The sequence below is a fragment of the Homo sapiens genome, chromosome 22 (assembly GCF_000001405.40).
Source record: "Homo sapiens chromosome 22, GRCh38.p14 Primary Assembly".
NCBI lineage: Eukaryota > Metazoa > Chordata > Mammalia > Primates > Hominidae > Homo > Homo sapiens.
The window spans coordinates 20,042,690-20,064,065 of NC_000022.11; the positions used below are offsets into that span (position 1 = coordinate 20,042,690).

Here is a 21,376-nt window from a genome sequence, read left to right on the forward strand (position 1 = left end):
GGGAGGCGGGAGTTGCAGTGAGCCGATGTCACGCCACTGCACTCTAGCCTGGGTGACACAGAGAGACTCCATCTCAAAAAATAAAAATAAATAAAAATGGAAATATTTGTTTGATTCATAATGCAAAAAAACTAGTAAAACAGTGAAGTTCCCATCCACTCCCAACCAACCCGAGAAATTAACTCCAAAACACACAGAATGGAGCAGCCCTCAGAGGCCCACATGCTGTGCCATTCAATCTGTATCCTTGAGCTCACGCTTCCAAGAGCCCACGGGTTTGTTGTGGGTGTTCCCAGGGCTGGGGACAGATGGACAGAAGGAGGAACAGCCCCCCACCCTCCAGCCTGGGCTCCCGGCATGGAGCCCAGGCTCCATGGTGCCCCTAAGGGCCTGGCAGACCCGTCTCCCGCCATTGAATGGTGTGGATGTGTGTCCCTGCCTAGCATCCTCCTGTTTCCCGTGCGGTCCCAGCTGCAGGCTCCCGAGAGCTCACCTGGAGCCACGGTGCTCCTTCCTCCAGTGTGGGTGCAGCAGGACTGCCGGCTTCCTGCCCTCTCTGAGACTGGCCCTTGTTGCCACTGAGGCCAGTTTTGTGTGTGAAAAGAGAAAAAGACTTGGCTCGCTCGTTTCCATCTGAAGCCATCAGTGATGCTTTCCTCTTGCAGGCTCATCTTGGCAGCCAACAGGGATGAATTCTACAGCCGACCCTCCAAGTTAGCTGACTTCTGGGGGAACAACAACGAGATCCTCAGTGGTGAGTCTTCCTGCGTGCTCAGCGGTGGCTGCGCCTTGTTGCTTCCCTAGCCCCTGCGTGGCCCGAGTGACCCTAACTGAGTGGTGCTGCTTCCAAGTGTGATGGCGGGGTGTAGAGGTGGAACTGATGGGGCTCGTGGTCGGGGCCAGCCCCAGCACCGGGCATTGCCAGAGCTGCCCACCCAGCACTGTCTGCGTGGCTTCCTGTGCCATGCGTCTGCATGGGGGCCCCATCATGTGAAAGCATCAGTTGGTTTTATATGGATCCCTCCTTTTTGCTGAGGGCATGTGGGTGGATTTGTGTGATGTACAGATCCACACTCAGTCACTTTGTGAAGCAACCCAGTCATATGAGTGTGTGCATGCGTGTGTATGCGTGCGTGTGTGTGCCTGTGTTTGTGTTTCTGTTTGTATATGAGCACCCTTGCTTCAGGGATGGTGGGGCTGAGTTTGGGAAGCTGGTGGTGCTGAAGCCCCGTCACCTGCACCATGCCTGTGTTGCATTAGGTGTACTTATAGGGCAGAAGTAGGGGTGAGAACCAGGTCCTCCCCACCAAAGATACCAGCCTCATTGAAGTCCTGTTGGACAGGAACCAGTTCCTGCCCATGGGGTGGTGGGAGTCTACCTGGAAGGTGCGCATAGATGGCTGGTGAGGCCACGGGTTACTCTGCCTGCGTACCAGGCGCCAAGTGGGCCCGAGGCATCCTGGCATGCTCCAGGGTGCCCACTCAGGCCAGATGTGTGACCTCGTGGGCCCATGGAGGCTGTGTGTGCCCTGTGCTGCCTCCCAGGCCGGGAGGGCAGGTGTTGGGATTATAGGTGTGAACCCAACACTTAAGGAGGCTGAGGCAGGAGGATTACTTGAGCCCAGGAGTTCAAGACCAGTCTGGGCAACATGGTAAAACCCTGTCTCTACAAAAAAAAATACAAAAATTAGCCAGGCGTGGTGGCATGTGCCTGTGGCCCCAGCTACTCAGGAGGCTGAGGCTAGAGAATTGCCTGAGCCCGGAAAGCAGAGGTTTCAGTGAGCTGAGATTGTGCCACTGCACTCCAGCATGGGTGACAGAGCGAGACCCTGTCTCATTCAATCAGTCAATCAATCAATCAAATAAAAGCTCAGCTGTGGGGTTTTGTGAGGACTCCTGTGTAGGCCTGTGGCCTGGCAGTAGTGTGAGAATGCTGCTGAGGCTGGGTGGTCCCGGCACCGTGTGGGAGGAGGACGGGTGCATGGAGACTGAGGCAGGGTGGTCCTAGGCCTGCTGGTATAGGAGGATGCAGTGGGTGCAGGGCTGGTCAGGACGGGTGGGTGAAGGCACAAGACTGATGTCCTTGGAAGGTGGAAGGTTTTCATAGATGAAGATGTGGCGGCTCAGAGGGTTACCCTCTTCTGGTTCCTTGACTATTGTGCCCTCCTGGGCTCCATCCCACCCTGGCACCCAGGTCTGTCAGCTGCCTCTGAACTAGTGCCAACCCCAGCAGCTCCAGTCTTGTGGAATTGTTCACCCCTGTGGTGTTTTGATGGTGGCAGCTGGTGCATGGATGTACACGGGCTTCTGCCAAGTGTCGGGGTGACCATATCACTAAGGCCCACATCCTCTCACTCTCTGGCGTCACCGGATTGTATGCAAAAGTTTAGGACAGTGGTTCTCCAGGTGTGGTCCTTGGGCCTGTAGCACCAGCTTTACTTGAGAACTTGTTAGAAATGAAATCACCCTGGGCCGGTGGCTCACACCTGTAATCTCAGCACTTTGGGAGTCCAAGGCAGGAGGATCCCTTGAGGCCAGGAGCTTGAGACCGGCCTGGGCAACGTAGTGAGTCCCTGTCTTTACAAAAAAAAAAAAAAAAATTAGCCAGCTGTGGTGGCATATGCCTGTTGTCCCAGTTACTCAGGAGGCTGAGGTGGGAGGATCGCCTGAGCCTGGAAGGTAGAAGCTGCAGTGAACCGAGACTGAGCCACTGCAGTTAGCCTAGGCAACAGAGTGAGACCCTGTCTGAAAAAAAAGAAAAGAAATGCAAATCAAAATCATTAAATTCATAAAAATTTGGCCATCACTTCTTTTTTTTTTTTTTTTTTTTTGAGATGGAATTTTGCTCTTGTTGCCCAGGCTGGAGTGCAATGGTGCCATCTCAGCTCACCGCAACCTCCATCTCCCGGGTTCAAGCTGTTCTCCTGCTTCAGCCTTCCTAATAGCTGGGATTACAGGCATGCACCACCACACCAGGCTAATTTTGTATTTTTAGTAGAGATGGGGTTTCTCCATGTTGGTCAGGCTGGCCTTGAACTCCCGACCTCAGGTGATCCGCCCGCCTTGTCCTCCCAAAGTGCTGGGATTAGAAGCATGAGCCATTGCACCCAGCGGCCATTACTTTTTCAAGTAGTTTTTCTGTCTTCTCTCTCACTCTCTCCTTCTCTCCAGTTACACACATATATTAGTTCACTTGCCCTTGTCCCACACCTCTGCGATGCTCTCTGCGTACTTTTCTCGGTGCCCCTAGATCTTGAGGTTTTCCAGCCTGGTGTCTGGGAGCCAGCCCTACTCCCTGCCCTGTGTGAGCACTGGTGGTTCTTGCCCCAGTGTCATATAGTCTCCTCCCTGAGATGCTGATCAGACATTCTCTGTGTAGCTCCTTCCTCTCTGGACTTTTGTGCCACTGTCTTAGTTCGTTTGTGTTGCTCTAAAGGAAAAAGCTGAGTCTGGGTAATTTTTTTCTTTTTTTTTGAGATAGGGTCTCACTCTGTTGCCCAGGCTGGAGTGCAGTGGCACAATCCTGTCTCACTGCAGCCTCTAACTCCTGGCCTCAAGTGATCCTCCCACCTCAGCCTCCCTAGTAGCTGGGACTACAAGTGCACATCACCATGCCCAGCTAATTTTTAAAAATAATTTGTAGCGACAAAGCCTTGCTGTGTTGCACAAGCTGGTTTCAAAGTCCTGGCCTGAAGTGACCCTCCTTTCTTGGCCTCCGAAAGTGCTGGGATTACAGATAATAAGCCATGGTGCCCAGCCAAGGCTGGGTAATTTTTTTTTTTTTTTTTTTTTTGAGACAGAGTCTTGCTCTGTCGCTTAGGCTGGAGTGCAATGGTGCGACCTTGGCTCACTGCAACCTCCACCTCCCAGGTTCAAGTGATTCTCCTGCCTCAGCCTCCTGAGTAGCTGGGATTACAGGCACCTGCCACCACACCCTGCTAATTTTTGTATTTTTGTATTTTTTTATTATTATTCTTTAAGTTCTAGGGTACATGTGCAGAACGTGCAGGTTTGTTACATAGGTATACATACATGTGCCATGTTGGTTTGCTGCACCCATCAACTCATCATTTACATTGGGTATTTCTCCTAACGCTATCCTTCCCCCAGCCCAATTTTTGTATTTTTAGTAGAGATGGGGTTTCACCAGGTTGGCTGGGCTGGTCTCAAACTCCTGACCTCAAGTGATCCACAAGGCTGGGTAATTTATAAAGAAAAGAGGTTTATTTGGCTTAGAGTTCTACAGGGGACCTGAAGCACAGTGTCAGCATCTGCTTCTGATGCAGGCCTCAGGAAGCTTCTACTGATGGTGGAAGGGGAAGGGGAGGTGGTATGTGCAGATCACACACGGAGGGAGGAAGCCAGAGAGAGGGAGGAGGCGCCACGCTCTTTTAAACAACCAGTTCTCAAAGGAACTAATAGAGCTAGAACTCATCACTGTGAGGACAACACCAAGCCGTTCATGAAGGATCTGCCATTAGGTAGATCTGTCTCCCATTAGACCCCACCTCCAACACTGGGGATCAGTTTTTTGGTTTGTTTGTTTTTTTTTTTTTTTTTTGAGACAGAGTTTCACTCTTGTTGCCCAGGCTGGAGTGCAATGGCACGATCTCGGCTCACCACAAGCTCCGCCTCCAAGGTTCAAGCAATTCTCCTGCCTCAGCCTCCTGAGTAGCTGGGATTACAGGCGCCTGCCACCATGCCCAGCTAATTTTTTGTGTTTTTAGTAGAGACGGGGTTTCACCATGTTGGTCAGGCTGGTCTCGAACTCTTGACCTCAGGCAATCCACCCGCCTCAGCCTCCCAAAATGCTGAGATTAGAGGCGTGAGCCACCTCACCCAGCCCGGGGATCAGATTTTAACATGAGGTCTGGGGGACAAACATCCAAACTATGGCAGCCATGAACTCTGGTTGTCTTAGTTTCCCCAAACACTAAGCCCCTCTTCTCAGCTCAGGGAGTCTGCTGAATTCGGCCTGGTCCCCCCACTCCCTGGGCTGGGTCCTGGAGCCTCTCTAATCATGGGCTCACTTTGTTTCCTGTCTGTCATATCCTTTTTTGTAAAACCCATTTGATATGGTTTGGCTGTGTCTCCACCCAAATCTCATCTTGAATTATAGTTCCCCAAATCCCCACATGTCCTGGGAGAGACCCAGTGGGAGGTAATTGAATCATGGGGCATTACCCCCATGCTGCTATTCTCATGATAGTGAGTTCTCATGAGATCTGATAGTGTTTTGTTTTTTTTTTTTTGAGACTGAGTTTCGCTCTTGTTACCCAGGCTGGAGTGCAATGGTGCGATCTCGGCTCACTGCAACCTCCACCTCCCAGGTTCAAGCAATTCTCCTGCCTCAGCCTCCTGAGTAGCTGGAATTACAGCCGCTTGCCACCACGCCCAGCTAATTTTTGTATTTTTAGTAGAGATGGGGTTTCACCATGTTGGCCAGGCTGGTCTCGAACTCCTGACCTCAGGTGATCCGCCTGCCTCGGCCTTCCGAAGTGCTGACATTACAGGCATGAGCTGCCGCTCCCAGCCAAGATCTGATGGTTTTATAAGGGGCTTTTCCTGCTTTGCTTGGAACTTCTCCTTCCTGCCACCATGTGAAGAAGGACATGTTTGCTTCCCCTTCTGCCATGATTGTAAGTTTCCTGAGGCCTCCCCAGCCATGCTGAACTATGAGTCACATATCTTTCCTTTATAAATTACCCAGTCTCGGGTATGTCCTTGTAGCAGCATGAGAATGGACTAATAAATACACCATTGTTTCTTGAGTTTTATTTATTTATTTATTTTTTGGTTGTTTTATGCAGGAGGGTAAATCTGGTCCTTGTTGCTTGGGCAATTTGGAAGTTTTGTTCTTGTTTTAATTATTGATTTGTAAGAGTTATTTACCCATTCTGGATATGAGTCCTTTGTGCCTACTCATTTCCTTAATGATAGCTTATGGTGAGCAGAATTTTTTTTTTTTCTTTTGAGTGGGTGGAGTCTTACTCTGTTGCCAGGCTGGAGTACAGTGGTGCGATCTCAGCTCACTGCAACCTCCGCCTCCCAGGTTCAAGTGATTCTTCTGCCTCAGCCTCCTGAGTAGCTGGGACTACAAGCATGCACCACCATGCCCAGCTAATTTTTGTATTTTTAGTAGAGATGGGGTTTCACCATGTTGGCCAGGATGGGCTCAATCTCTTGACCTCTTGATCTGCCTGCCTTGGCCTCCCAAAGTGGTAGGATTACAGGCGTGAGCCACTGCGCCCGGCCAGAATATTTCATTTTAACAAAGTACAGTTTATCTTATCTTTTATGAGTTGTTCTTTTTGTGCCTTATCCAAAAAGTCTTTGCCTACCCAGAGGAAAATATATAACAATATTTTCCTCCATTTGCTTCTAGAAGCCTAATTTTTGTTTTTATGTTTGGTCTATGATTTATCTCAAGGTTTTGTACATGGTGTGAGGTAGGGGTTGAGATTTACTGCCTCCAACCCCCAAATCTCTCTAGTTGTTCCAGCATCATTTATTAAATGGATTATCTTTTGCCTAGTTCATTACTATGGCAACTTGGTTGTACATCAGTTGAACATATATGTGTGGGTCTATTCCTGACTCTGTTGTATCCCATTGATCTATGTATCTGTCTTGATGCCAACACCATGCAGTCTATGAGTGCTGCTGCTTTTTAGTAAGTCTTGAAATCAGGCTGAGCACTGTGGCTCACACCTGTAATCCCAGCACTTTGGGAGACCGAGGTGGGCAGATCACCTGAGGTTGGGAGTTCAAGACCAGCCTGACCAACATGGAGAAACCCCGTCTCTACTAAAAATACAAAATTAGCTGGGTGTGGTGGTCCATGCCTGTAATCCCAGCTACTCGGGAGGCTGAGGCAGGAGAATCACTTGAACCCGGGAGGCGGAGGTTGCGGTGAGCTGAGATCACGCCATTGCACTCCAGCCTGGGTAACAAGAGCGAAACTCTGTCTCAAAAAAAAAAAAAAAAAGAAAAAAGAAATCAGGCAATGTGGGTCTGCCTTCTTTTTCGGGACTATTTTGGCCATCCCAGTTCCTTTGCATATGCATAGATATTTCAGCCAGTCTGTTAATTGCTATAAAACGAAAAGCCCCCTGGGATTTTGACTGGGCAGGTTTTGAATCTATGGGTCATGTGGGGAGAAGTGTCACCTTAACAATACTGAGTTGTCTAAGAAGTACCCAGTGAAACAAATAATAACAAGAAGAAACACTGTTGAGGCTGGGCACGGTGGCTCACGCCTGTAATTCCAGCACTTTGGAAGGCCGAGGCGGGCCGATCATGAGATCAGGAGACCGAGACCATCTTGGCTAACACGGTGAAACCCTGTCTCTACTAAAAAAATATGAAAAAATTAGCTAGGTGTGGTGGTGGGCACCTGTAGTCCCAGCTACTTGGGAGGCTGAGGCAGGAGAATGGCCTGAACCCGGGAGGCGGAGCTTGCAGTGAACTGAGATCACACCACTGCACTCCAGCCTAGGCGACAGAGCAAGACTCTAAAAAACAAAAACAAACAAAAAAACACTATTGAATCTTTCAGTGAATATGCATGTCTCTCCTTAAATCAGGTCAGCTCAACTTGAGACCCTCAACAGTGCCCTGGAGTTTTCAGTCTTTGTCACTCATTTTTCATTAAATATTTTCCTGGTGGTTTTTTTTTTTTTTTTTTTTTTTGAGACGGAGTCTTGGTCTGTTGCCCAGGCTAGAGTGCAATGGCGCCATCTCTGCTCATTGCAACCTCCACCTCCCGGGTTCCAGCAATTCTCCTGTCTCAGCCTCCCGAGTAGCTGGAACTACAGGTGCCTGCCACCATGCCCAGCTAATTTTTGTATTTTTAGTAGAGATGGGGTTTCATCATATTGGCCAGGCTGGTCTCGAACTCCTGACCTCGTGATCCGCCCGCCTTGGCCTCCCAAAGTGCTGGGATTACAGGCGTGAGCCACTGCACCCGGCTTTTTTTTTTTTTTTTAATCACACTAAGGATTTTAAAAATGCTGTTATAAATGGTATATTTAAATGCTCACTTTCCAGTTCTTGCTAGCATTTACTTATTAGTTCTAATACATCGGTTTTGGTATTCCTTTTGGGTTTTCTTCATATATGATCCTGCTGGTTGCAAATACAGTTTTGTTGGGTTTTTTTTTTTTTTTTGAGACAGAGTTTCGCTGAGAGTGCAATGGTGTGATCTCGGCTCACTGCAACCTCCACCTCCCGGGTTCAAGCAATTCCCCTGCCTCAGCCCCCCGAGTAGCTGGGATTATAGGCTGCCTCAGCCTCCTAAGTAGTTGGGATTACAGGCATGCACCACCACGCCTGGCTAATTTTGTATCTTTAATAGAAATGGTGTTTCTCCATGTTGGTCAGGCTGGTCTTGAACTCCCAACCTCAGGTGATCTGCCCGCCTCGGCCTCCCAAAGGGCTGGGATTACAGGTGTGAGTCACCGCACGGGGCCACAAATACAGTTTTATTTCTTTATTTTTGATCTTTACATCTTTTCTTTTTCTGTTATAATTAATTATTGTTATAAAAATAATATCTTAGGGCCAGGCACGGTGGCTCACACCTGTAATCCCAGCACTTTGGGACGCCAAGGCGGACGGATCACCTGAGGTTGGGAATTCGAGACCAGCCTGGCCAACATGGAGAAACTCCGTTTCTACTAAAAATACAAAATTAGCCAGGTGTGATGGCACATGCCTGTAATTCCAGCTACTCAGGAGGCTGAGGCAGGAGAATCGCTTGAACCCAGGAGGGAGAGGTTGCAGTGAGCCGAGAGCACACCATTGCACTCCAGCCTGGGCAACAAGAGCGAAACTCTGTCTCAAAAAGTAATAATAACAATAATAAATAAAATAACATCCTAGCCAGTGCAGTGGCTCACTCCTGTAATCCCAGCACTTTGGGAGGCTGAGTCGGGAGGATCGCTTGAGCCCAGGAGTTCGAGACAAGCCTGGGCAACACAGCAAAACTTTGTCTGTACAAAAAAATGCAAAAATCAGCCGAGTGTGATGGTACCTGCCTGTGGTCCCAGCTACTTGGGCTGAGGTGGGAGGATCGCTTGAGCCTGGGAGGTGGAGGTTGCAGTGAACTGTGTGATTGCCACTGAACTCCAGCTTGGGTGACAGAGTGAGACTCTGTCTCAAAAAAATAAAAAATGAAATAAAATAATAAAAATAACATCTTAATGACAGCCTTTTTTGCCCCAATCTTTGGGTAAAATGACCCCCTGGTCTAAGAAGGAGCCCTCCTGTGGCTTTCAGAGCCCTCCAACCTTGTGGCATTAGCAGTGGCCCATGCCCTGCAGATTTGGCGGGGGTGAAGGTCCTGGTTGTGTGCTGGGCTCCTAGTGAAGGGCCTGCCCTTTGGGCCTGGTGCATCCTGCTGGGTGAGGACAGCCAGCGTCCCTGCACCCCATTCATGCGATTGGAGCCTAGTGCTGCCCCTCAGCCTTGACGCTGGCCCAAGTGGAAGGATGTGTTCTGCAGGGCATCTGTTGGGATAGGTGTGGTTGGTGTCATAGTTGTCCTGCAGGACAGGGATCTCACTTGCACGACCCATGAACCCCAGGGGCTGCCTGGCCTTGAAGAGTTCCAGCCACGATTCCATAGCTGGGGCTGCTGGGCCAAGCCGCATGTCGAACGTCCTCGAGGAGCTTGAGGCAGGAGCTGGGCCGAGTATGCGTCTCCCAGGGCTGGGAACCAGGTGGGGGACTGGAATGGGTGGCATCAATGGTGGTAACACTGTCATCTGCCACAGGGCTGGACATGGAGGAAGGCAAGGAAGGAGGCACATGGCTGGGCATCAGCACACGTGGCAAGCTGGCAGCACTCACCAACTACCTGCAGCCGCAGCTGGACTGGCAGGCCCGAGGGCGAGGTAAGGCGAGTGGGGTGGGGCCAAGGTGAGACAGGGTGGGGTGGGGCAGGCCTAGGTGAGACAAGGTGGGGCCAAGGGACTACAGGACTGGCCAATGTATGGTGGAGTGGGGCGGGCCAAGGTAGGAAGTGCCAAGGTGCTTGTGCTTGGGAGTGGGATGGGGCAGGGCTGAGGTACCGTGGGGCAGGGCCAGGTTACAGAGTGGGCGGTGACAAAGCGTGGCAGGGCAGGGCCCAGGTAAGGGTGGGGACAAGAAGGGGGAAGCTGGGCCCCGTGGCAGGTGGGTGGCTTCCGTGGGCATATCACTGCCGCCACTGAGGTGTGCTGCAGGGGTATGCGGCAGAGACAGGAAGAGTGAGGAGGGGAGCATCCCATTTCCCACACCCTGGCCCTCTGGCGTCGCAGCCAGGAGCCCACTCCCACCTGACCCACGCAGCACTGTTTACTCCTCTCAGGGCGCACTCTCCCCTTGTCCTCATGCATGGCACTCCTGACTGCTGTGTCACTGTCCCCTGCCTGGAATGTTTGTAGAGTAGATGCCTTCCCCGAGACGACAGCTCTGTGGACACACATTGTCCCCACTGAAAGGTGTTGTTTACTTCATGCTGGATTTCCATAGGAAGACATAGTGGGGAAATTTTTTTTTTAATAAAATGAGCAGTTTTCAGTGCCGACCTGAGTGGCAGCCAGGCTAATGAGGTGTGGCTGACTCTTGCGGCAGTCATGACAGGCCAGGGCTCCAGTGGGACCCCTCATCTTCCTGCATCCTCCCCAGGGGGCCCCATATCAGTGTTCCTGGGAGAAGAGCACATGCCTGCAGCTGTGGACACAGCATCTGTCCCCTGCCTACAGGTGAACTTGTCACCCACTTTCTGACCACTGACGTGGACAGCTTGTCCTACCTGAAGAAGGTCTCTATGGAGGGCCATCTGTACAATGGCTTCAACCTCATAGCAGCCGACCTGAGGTGGGTCTGCCAGAGGGGGATGGCGGCTCTGCCCAGCACTGCCTCGGGGGCAGGCCTCAGGCTCATCAGGAAGTGGGGTTCCACTGGGGGCTGTGGCAGCCTCTCCAGGGACGTTGCTCCTCGTGACTTGGCAAACATTCTGAGGACTGAGCCTGTCACAGATGTACCAACTCGGGTATTTGGGGGTGAAGCCCAAGGCTTCCTGTGATGGCATGAGGGCTGCCGGATCCCTGGAGAAAGCTGAGGCTGTGAAGAACAGTCACATAGAGTGGCTCTGGCCGGGTGTCCTCCCTCCCACGGGCAGGCTGTGCAGAGCAGCCCTCCGCAGCCCTGGCTTGGAGTGACTGGGATGCTGTGCTCCCAGGGAAGCTCCTGTTGGAGATGAGGCCGCAGGAACTGCGGAGGTTTTGGTGTTTTGCCCTTCCGTGAAGTGAGCATTCCTCCCTCCTGCCCTCCTCCCCCTCCAAAGCCCCAGAACTTGGCCAATGCTGTTAGTCCGGGGCCTTCTGCCAGGACAGGCAAACGGGAAGTGGTCGGCACATTGTGGCGGGCCCTGAAGCTGCCTCCTTCCACAAGGGCAGGTCCATGGGCCTCTCTCCTGGCTCCCGAGCTCCAGGCCTGCTGTTCGTTGAGCATCCCTTGTGTGTGGCATGCCCAGCCCTGCCCCACATGGGTCTGCACACTTGCTATGGAGGCTGGGAGAGTTGCAGTGTCCCCTAGGTGGAAGGCCGAGGGCTGGTGCGGGGCACTTGCTGTCCGGAGCCGTTCTTCCTGCCCATGCCTTCGTGACTCCAGGTGGCAGAGCCCCTGTGCTCTCTGCATGCCCCCATGCTCAGGAACCACTTTTCCCGGTCAGTAGTTCCATGTGGGTCTGATTAGTCTCAGGAGAGTTCCTCTGCGGCCGTGGCACCAGCAGGACTTGGCACTCAGCAGCTGTGTGGAGGTGGGGTGCCAAGGGTGCCATGCCTTGAGCAGATACACGGGCTCCTGTGGTTGGGGGTTGGGGGTTTGGGCTCCTCAGAGCCTGTGCAACTCTCCCGGCTCCAAAGGCTGCAGAGTGAGGGTCAGCCTCCTGGACCTAGCCTGAGGATACAGGCAGTGGCCAGGAGAGCATACCACAGGTCAGGCAAAAGCTGGTGCCAGGGCCGAGGCTGGAGGGCGGGGGCATCGGAGGTCAGTGAGCAGCCCTGCTGGTAGGTGCAGATGAGGAAGCCAAGGCCTGGAAGGGAGAGAGGCTTGTCATGGCCACAGCTATCCCTGGGTGAGGCCTGCCCTCCGCCTGGCCTGTGGTATAGTGCTGGCAGCATGGGTGTCCAGTTCTGTAGGTCCTTACACAGAAAGCCCAGAGGAGATTTTTGCCTGCAAACAGTCTCTGAAATTATGAACCAAGTATCTTAGGAAAGTTGCCAAAGACCATGGTGAGGAAGAACGGGAGTGGAATGTGAACATAGACGGGGGGGCCCTTGAAGCCTACCAGGGGTGGGGAAGGTGGGTCCCACCTGGGGGCAGCACTTCGGGGAGGAAGGCACCATGCCTGGCTCTTTCTCTGCATCTGTTCCATCTTGAAGGCCCAGGGCTCCATGCCCAGCATCTGGCCTGGGAGGGCATCTCACAGGCCACAAAGAGATCCTCTTCACTTTGCAAAAAAGGCACTCCAAGTTCTAGAAGACTTACTGTGGTATTGAGGATTGGAATATTTTCAGCTGGGGAGCATTTTGAACTATTTTCTTTTTAAAAAATGATTTATTTATTTTGTAGAGATGGGGTCTTGCTATGTTGCCCAGTCTGGTTTCAAACTCCTGGCCTCAAGCAGTCCTCCCTCCTTAGTCTCCAGATTAGCTGGGACTATAGGCATGAGTCACTATGCCCAGCTCTACTGTCCCTTAACTATTTTAAAGTGTACACTTAACACTTGAGAGTAGGAAAATGTGGTCTTTGGCGCTTTCTTTGGAAGCCTCGATCACCCTGGGGCCACACTGGGGCCACCTGTCCAGAAACCCTCATAGATGAGCTGTGGTAAGGGGCCTGATGGAGAGGTTGGTGATGTGGGGATGGGGCTCAGCCCTGCAGTTGTCCCCATGGGCAGCCTCTGTGTGTCCATGCCATGGGGCATTCGGCATGGCAGGAGGGCATTTTAGATCCTGTGCCTCCTGGGCTGGTGGGCCCCGAGGTGAGCTGGGAACATACCCGTGATGCTGGACAAGAGCTGGGGCCTCCATGACCCCGCCTGCCAGGCACCTGAGGGGCTGGGTCCTGCAAGCTCCTGACCTGGCCGCAGCGGGCTACTGCGCACATCGCTAGCCTCCAGAAACAGGGCTGTGAGATCACCGGGCAGTGTCGGGGAGGACGCCCTATGGCTGTAGTCTGACATTCTCTCCCCTTGGCCTGCAGCACAGCAAAGGGAGACGTCATTTGCTACTATGGGAACCGAGGGGAGCCTGATCCTATCGTTTTGACGCCAGGTGAGCCTGCCCTGGCAGCCTGATGGGGTGGGGGACTGTTTCTATGCAGAGGTCACCCTTGTGCTTTTTAGAGACCAGGCACTTGTCATATTACTCTTCTGAGATGACTTTGTGGCCATTTAAGTGCCTTATGGTCTGTGGGCACCTTGCCCTGCACCTGGACACTTCAGAGAGCCCTGGCTCCCTGCTCACCCCCTCCCCATGGGCTTTTCCTGCTGAGCAAGGTGCGCCCCTGTTCTGGGCTTCCCACCGCAGCCCTGCAGCCCAGCCGGCCACCCCCAGCCTCACTTCCTGTGCCGTCCCAGTGTGCCCTGTGCCTGTTCCTTCTCAGAACCTCTGGAGCCATCACCACCTGGGGTTCTTGCCTGGTCTGCTCCCTGACGCACAAGTACACACCCCACTCAAGCCCCACACAGATGCACGCCTCCTGCACCCAGTCCCCAGTCTGATCCCCGGTCCCCATCCTCAGGGCCTCGAGCCCCTCTGCGCCAGGTCACACTCCACGGCTGGGCCCTTCCTGCCCTGGCTCTGCACCACTGCCCAGGCTGTGCCTCCTGCTACATGCCCTTCCTTTCCCCCTCCTCGGGTGCTGCGATTTCCTGGAAGCTTCCTCTGCCAGTGCCCCAACCTGGAGAGAATGTGTCACATTGCCCCCCTCTGCAGCCATGTTCTGGGAGGGAGGTCTGCATCTTGTCCCAGGTCTGGTGCCAGGACAAAGCAGCACTCCTGGGAAATGGCATTTCCCCTGGGTGCACAAAACTGTAGGGACCATAGCCTAGGTTCCGGGGACTGCTGGCTCACTCACTCCCACACTCGCTGCCCACAGACACTCCTCGCTGGTGGCATCGTGGAACTCTGTGCCTTAAACGCCCGCTCTGGTCCCTCTACTCAAGCTGCTGGCTCACACAGGGTGTTCCGGCGCCTGGGGAGTGTGTCAGTGCCCTTAGCGCCACCCACACCCCTCTGTGAGGGGGCTCCCTCACACCCCTGGCTCCTCTGAAGCTCCATGCCCACGTCACACAGACTTTCTTTTGCATTTGGCACAAATCACCAAGTGAGGTTGCAGGTCACAGGTGCACACCTTCCCACTGGGTGTACACGGTGGAACTGAAGCCCCAGGCGTCCCTGGAGGGGCCCGAGGGAGATGATAAGCAGTCCCCAGGACAGCTGAGTGGCCCCATCCCACCTGCATCTTAGGGGGCTGGTGGTGCTGACGGGCTCATCATGAGTCCTGTGGTCCTTGCCTGGCCCACACTGGAGCTGGCTTCCAGCTTCCCACGTCTGCCCAGTGATGTTTCATCCACAGATAGGCCCAGCCCCCATTTGCTAGGGTGGTGCCCAGACCCGAACCCCTGGGCTAGTTGGGATCTCCAGAGGAGGCATCTGCCTGGAGGGTGGCTTCCAGTGTGTCCCACCCACTGCCCCCACGCCTACCAGCTGGTGCCCTCTCCTCCACCTGGGGCTTATCCTTCCGGCCACCCTCTGTGACCCTGGTCTTCCCCTCCCTACCTTGGATACAACTGTGGGCAGCCCACCTGAGCTCCCAAGAGCTGGGCAGTGGCACAGACACAGAGACTACCAGCGAGGCAGGGATGTGGCCCCAGAAGGTCCTGAGCTTGCAAAGGATTGTTCTGGCTGTCTCAGCCAGCTCTTGCTGTTCCACCTGCCCCAGAACCTCCGCATCAGTTGAGGGTCGTGGGGTTGGAATGTGTGGCGAAGTAGGTCTGTGGCAGTGGAGTTGGGCCATGCTGAGCCTGTGACTGCCCAGGAGAGAATTGGAAACTAAAAGGTGCAAAAGCAGTCAGAGACTCCCTACCACCCCCTCACTGTGAACATTGGCCCAGCGGCCTCTGGGGCAGTCGCTGTAACCATCCACGTGGCATCCTCGGTTCTCAGAGGCTGAGACCTCCGTGGCTGGAGATGCTTATTTTCTGCTCAGTTGTTGTTCTGTAGAACTTATTTCTGTCTACATCCTGCCTCATCCCTGAGCCTGCCCCACCTGGTCCACATTGCCTTTTTTTTTTTGATAAAGTTTTATTGAGATATGACTGACTAGCGGCACAGTTCACCCATTTAAAGTGTATCATTCAGTAGGTTTCGTTTCATTCACAGAGTTGAGCAACTGTCATCACTACCTAATTCCAGGACATTTCTTGATCCCCAAAGAAAGCCATACCTGTCAGCAGCCACTCCCCATTCCCCGTCTCTTCAGCGCCTGCAACCTTTAATCTGCTTTCTGTCTCTGGATTTGCCTATTCTGGACACTTTGTATAAAGGGAATCCTATAATATGTAGTTTAGGGGACTGACTTTTTTCACTTAGTGTTGTCGTCTAAAAACTCACCAGTGGCGAGGCACGGTGGCTGACGCCTGTAATCCTAGCACTTTAGGAGGCCAAGGCGGGCAGATCACGAGGTCAGGAGATCGAGACCATCCTGGCTAACACGGTGAGACCCCATCTCTACTAAAAATACAAAAAATTAGCCGGGCGTGTTGGCAGGTGCCTATAGTCCCAGCTACTTGGGAGGCTGAGGCGGGAGAATGGCGTGAACACAGGAGGCGGAGCTTGCAGTGAGCTGAGATCGCGCCACTGTACTCCAGCCTGGGCGACAGAGTGAGATTGCATCTCAAAAAAAAAAAAAACAAAGAAAAACTCACCAGCATGGCTAAATGATAGAAAGGAGAGTTTTATTTGCCATATCAGTTTGCAGACCCGGAAGAGAGAGTCTCTAGCATGGACTGAGGTGCTCTCTTTGAAGAGGGGAAGGGCAGTTTGAGTTTTATGCCTCCCAAGGTCCATATCACACAATAGAGTCATACATATTCAGCAGGTTTGGGGAAAAGCCATACATATTTATGAGGGGACCCGAGAACATATGCAATAGATAAACATACATGTAACATACATCCCATGTTCACTTTGGGGCAGGGTTTTAGCATTAAAATGAGGTAGAATCTGGATCTTTCCATCAGAAGGTGAGCTCTAGGACACAGTTGGAGTGCAGCCTCTATGAACTGCTGAAACTGGCTTATGGTCTGTAGTTGCTTATCAGAAAAGAGTGTTTGAAGGCTGGTTCTCTGTCCAGTCAGGGTTGTGGTGGTCTGGGCTGTCAAGAGTTAGGAGGGTCTGATAACGTGTGTGATCTCTACTGTTGTGAGGGAGTTTATCAAGACTGTGGTTTTTCTTGTAGCTGTAGGAATTTAGGGAGTTGCTGAGACAGCTGCCCTGAACCCTCGAGCCAGTTGGTACTTTTTGTTTCTTCCCTTTATCCATTAATGGACACTTGAGTTTTTTCCACCTTTTGGCTGTTGGAAACAGTGCTGCTCACAGTGTGACCTCACAGCATTTGTGTGGTCATATGTTTTTATGGCTCTCATGTGAATACGTAGGAATGGAGTTGTTAAGTCGTATGGTAACCCTGTTTAACCTTTTGAGGAACATCCAAACTGTTTGCCAAAGCAGCCGCAGCATTATACATTCCCACCAGCAGTGTATGCGGGTTGCAGCTTCTCTGAATCCTCACCAAAACTTGCTATGTTCTGTGTTTTTGATGATAGCCACGATAGTGGGTGTGAAGTTGTGTGGACTCGTGGTTTGGTTTGCGTTTCTCTGATGGCTATGATGTTGAGCAGCTATTCTCATGCTCGTTGGCCATTTGTATGTCTTCTTTGGAGAAATGGTTATTCAGACTGGGTTGTCTTTTTGAGTTATAGGAGTGACTTATACATTCATTCTAGCTACAAGTCTCTTATTTAAAGCACAAAGCTTAAAATTTTTAAGTCCTATGTCTCTCTCTTTTTTTTTCTTTTGTTGCTCATGCTTTTGGTTTCTTATCTAAGAAACCATTGCCTAATCTAAGGTCATGAAGCTTTCCCCAATACTTTCTTCTTAGAGTTTTATAGCTTTTGCTCTTTCACTTAGGTCTTTGGTTTGACTTAAGTTAACTATTTTTTTTTTTTTGAGACAGGGTCTGGCTCTGTCACCCAGGCTGGAGTGCAGTGGTGCAGTCATGGCCCACTGCACTGTCAACCTCCTGGGCTTAAGAGATCCTCCCAGCCGGGCGCGGTGGCTCACGCCTGTAATCCCAGCACTTTGGGAGGCCAAGGCGGGTGGATCACAAGGTCAGGAGATCGAGACCATCCTGGCTAAACCGGTGAAACCCCGTCTCTACTAAAAATACAAAAAATTATCCAGGCGTGGTGGCGGGTGCCTGTAGTCCCAGCTACGTGGGAGGCTGAGACAGGAGAATGGCGTGAACCCGGGAGGTGGAGCTTGCAGTGAGCCGAGATTGCGCCACCGCACTCCAGCCTGGGCGACAGAGTAAGACTCCGTCTCAAAAAAAAAAAAAAAAAAAAGAGATCCTCCCTCCCAAGTAGCTGGGACTGCAGATGTGTGCCACCATGTTCAGCTAACTTTTATGTTTTGTAGAGATAAGGCCTCACTATTTTGCTATTTTGCCGAGGCTGGTCTTGAACTCCTGGGCTCCAGTGATCCTCCTGCCCCAGCCTCCCGATGTGCTGGGATTATAGGAGTGAGCCACCTCTCTTGACCTGAGTTAACTTTTGTGTATGGTGTCAGGTAGAGTCCAACTCCCTTCTTTGCCCATGACTATGCAGTTCAATGGTCTTCCATGTTGTTCATGATGGAAAAAGCACTGTGACACCTGGGGCTGGCGGCTTGGCTCTGGGGGCCCCAGCAGAGCCAGGCTGTCTCCCTGGGAAATGCCTCGGCCAAGATATTCTCCTGGAAGTCTGACAGGGAGAGGGTGGTGTCTTGGTCTCCCTGGTGCATCATTTGGGGTGCTTGGCTCCCATCAAGCCCACCCCTGCTGCCCTGGCCTCTAGAGAAGAGCCTCTGAGGTGAGGTGCTTCTCCACCTCAAGTCCCTGCCCTTCACTTTCTGTGACATGAGAAACCCTTTTCCTGTTGGCCATGCCTTCTGCCAACACTCTGGGAGCTTGTTCAGAGTCTGTGCAGAGCCCCCCGGCTCTCCTAACCTGGGGCCTGGCTGGTACGCAGAGGTGGGCCATGCTCTGCTGAGGCCCAGCCTACACCTGTGCCCACTGTGTGGCGCTGTTGGGGGTTCCCCAAACAGGGACATGATTGTGGTGGGTGCCTCCTGGCCTCTGGTGGCTAATTCTCCCACTCTTGAACTTCTCAGGTGGCCCCCCAACCTGGCGTGAGGTGAAGAGGTTCCCTCTTGGCTGTCCCCTTTGCCTGTGAGATCTCAGGTTGCTCATTTCTTATTCATCCATCCATCGAGGCTGCTGGGCATCTGTGCCTTGTGGTCTCCTGTGGGTGCCCGCTTCCGCCTACTGCTGAGTTCTCCTCTCCTTGCCATGCCATCAGGTCAGGAATGAGCATGGGGAAGGAGCTGGAGCATGGAGCGGCTTGGCCTCAGTCTGGCCTGATTTCATGGTCCCCAGCTGTACCCCGTGTTAGGTGGGTGGCAGGTGGCAATTTGCCCTGACATGGCACAGCAGGGCCTCTGCATGGCCCGCTGATTGCTCCTCACAGGCACCTACGGGCTGAGCAACGCGCTGCTGGAGACTCCCTGGAGGAAGCTGTGCTTTGGGAAGCAGCTCTTCCTGGAGGCTGTGGAACGGAGCCAGGCGCTGCCCAAGGATGTGCTCATCGCCAGCCTCCTGGATGTGCTCAACAATGAAGAGGCGTGAGTGGGCGGGTCCTGCTGGGGTGAGCCCCAGTGTCCCGCCACCAGGGCAGAGGGAAAGGCAGGCCCTGCTGCCCCGGGAGGCCCATGGAAGTGGCCAGGCTGGGTCCCCAGCTGCAGGGAAGCTGATGGATATCCTGTCCTCCCTGCCTGTCCCCTTGAGCCAGCTGAGGTTTCCAACACCAGGGACTTTTGATGACAGAAGATGGGCCCAGGCCCAGGCCCAGGCCCAGGGGAGGCTCAGTGCACCCAGAGGCTTGATGCAGCCACGTGGGGCCCAGAGCAGATGGATGCTCCCCTCTGCATGCCGAGAGCTTGTGGGAAGTTCCAGAAGATTCTAGACACTCAGCAAACCCAGGCGGAAGAGACACATCATGGAAATGAGTGGCTAGGGTCAGCACGCTCAGGGTTGATGGGCTTCCCGCAAGCGGTCTGTCCCCAGCGACCCTGGGCTGAGTGCTGGGCAGGGACTTGCAGTTCCGGGAACTGCCTGGGTGTAGGAGCTCCCACCCACTTCCTTGCCCGTAGGCCTCAAGGCCCCTCAGGGGCCAGGCACTGGGGTCTTCGTTGCCCCAGCCGGGGGTCCTGGTGCTTGCCATGCCAGCCTTTCTCCCACTGGGCGAGATGCCCCACCCATCCCTCGCTCCCCACCCAGGTCAGACCACTGCCCTGCCCAGGTGATCCAGCGTCCACTCCCACCCTGTCCAGCTTGCCCCCTTCAGAGAAGCACCCATGGACCATCTCCCACTCCTCCCCCTGGGGCCCCTTTCTGCCCCCTGCCTACCCTCCTTCTCCTCTGGGCCTCTGATAGGCGGCCTCGTCCTTCAGCCTCAGCATCGCTGCCTCACTGGAAGAGCCCCACCTGGGCATGCCCAGCAGCCCCTCCCAGCTGTAAGTCCACACAGCCCCCATCAATGTGCCATCTGGGGCAGGCCGAGGACCGGCCCTGGCTGCCCTCACTGATGGCTGGAGCCCCGATGCTAGCTACAATGGCTGGCTTGAGTGGACTTCTGTCACAGAGGCAAATGCCCACAGGGCACCTCTTGGGGCAGGCAGGGAGCTTGTATGTGCCATCTGGGGCCAAAGCTCCACGATTGAGTCATAAGTTAAGGGTAGATGGAGATTTTCCGCCTTGAGCAGAAACGTGGAGGAAACACGCCTGGTGTGTGACTCACGCCTGTAATCCCAGCACTTTGGGAAGCCGAGGTGGGCGGATCACCTGAGGTCAGGAGGTCAAAACCAACTTGGTCAACATGGTGAAACTCTGTCTCTACTAAAAACACAAAATTAGATGGCTGGGTGGTGCACGCCTGTAATCCCAGCTGACGGCTGGAGCCCCGATGCTAGCTACAATGGCTGGCTTGAGTGGACTTCTGTCAGGAGAATTGCTTGAACTCGGGAGGTGGAAGTTGCAGTGAGCCAAGATCGTACCATTGCGCTCTAGTCTGGGCGACAAGAGTGAAACTCCTCCTCAAAAAAAGAAAATAAGAGAAAAGAGAAGAGAAGAGGAAAAAGAAAAGAAGAAAAGAAACAACCCTTGCAGTTCCCCGGCCACTCCCCAGAGCCAGTTAGGCCACCAGGTGGGCTGGGGCTAGACCCGGCTGCGGGCGGGCCACAGAGGGACTAATGGCCACCACTTCTCTCCATCCTGCAGGCAGCTGCCAGACCCGGCCATCGAGGACCAGGGTGGGGAGTACGTGCAGCCCATGCTGAGCAAGTACGCGGCTGTGTGCGTGCGCTGCCCTGGCTACGGCACCAGGTATTGCAGCACCGTGGGTGCGCCACCTCCTATCCCATGTCCCACCTCCCACGCTAGAGGGCCGGCAAAGAAGCCAAGTGCCCATAGCCAGAGCCAGGCTTCTTCCTCGCCTGAGTGGATTCCAGAGCTTCTGCCCTGTCCAGACGCAGCTGCAGGGTGAGCAGATACCACAGGCTCCCGGGGCCCCACAGGCTGGGCTTAAGGAGCCAGTACACAGCCACACAGGGCCAGGATGGCTTCAGGGCTGCCTGCACATTGGTGGATCCCTGCGGGCAAACGCCCCGGCACCATGGCACTAGGCCTGCAGGCTGTACCCTTGGGTGGTGGCTGCTGGCCAGCCTTTCCTGCCTGGGGCTGGCTGGCCCATTGGCAGGTGCAGGGTGTCATTTCCTTCAGCCCCTCCTCTGTCATAGGCTCATCTTCCTGTGTGTGAGGGGAAGGCAAGTGCCAACTCCACTCCCTGGCAGGCCGCATAGCCGCTGGGTCCCACCCCACGGGGTGCACTGCGTATGTGTCTGCCCTGGGAACCAGCCTGTGCTGGGGCTGTTGGGGGATCCAGGGCCACCCTCCGTCTGCAAAGCCCACGGCAGAGAGGGTTGGAGGAGAGGAGAGTGTGCTGAATG

General features: G+C 53.6%; 1 protein-coding gene across 59 annotated transcripts in view, besides 1 other annotated feature; it reads left to right on the forward strand.

The window, feature by feature from the left end:
* TANGO2 (transport and golgi organization 2 homolog) overlaps window positions 1-21,376 on the forward strand; it is a 50,142-nt gene that overhangs the window by 25,667 nt on the left and 3,099 nt on the right. For 7 of the 59 annotated variants that reach the window (NM_001322163.2, NM_001283179.3, NM_001322167.2 and 4 more), the window contains 4 exons: window positions 666-754; window positions 9,776-9,895; window positions 18,841-18,994; window positions 20,649-20,753. In NM_001322163.2, coding sequence (NP_001309092.1) covers window positions 666-754; window positions 9,776-9,895; window positions 18,841-18,994; window positions 20,649-20,753 — 468 coding nt within the window. The other 52 variants (XM_017028580.2, XM_017028579.2, XM_047441118.1 and 49 more) reach the window with 25 other exon arrangements.
* Window positions 14,869-15,369: an enhancer, noted in NCBI's record as "H3K4me1 hESC enhancer chr22:20045081-20045581 (GRCh37/hg19 assembly coordinates)". NCBI's record gives its function as "activates a minimal SCP1, AML or CMV promoter by ChIP-STARR-seq in naive H9 embryonic stem cells {active_cell/tissue: H9 hESC(naive)}" and the evidence as "EXISTENCE:reporter gene assay evidence [ECO:0000049][PMID:30033119]".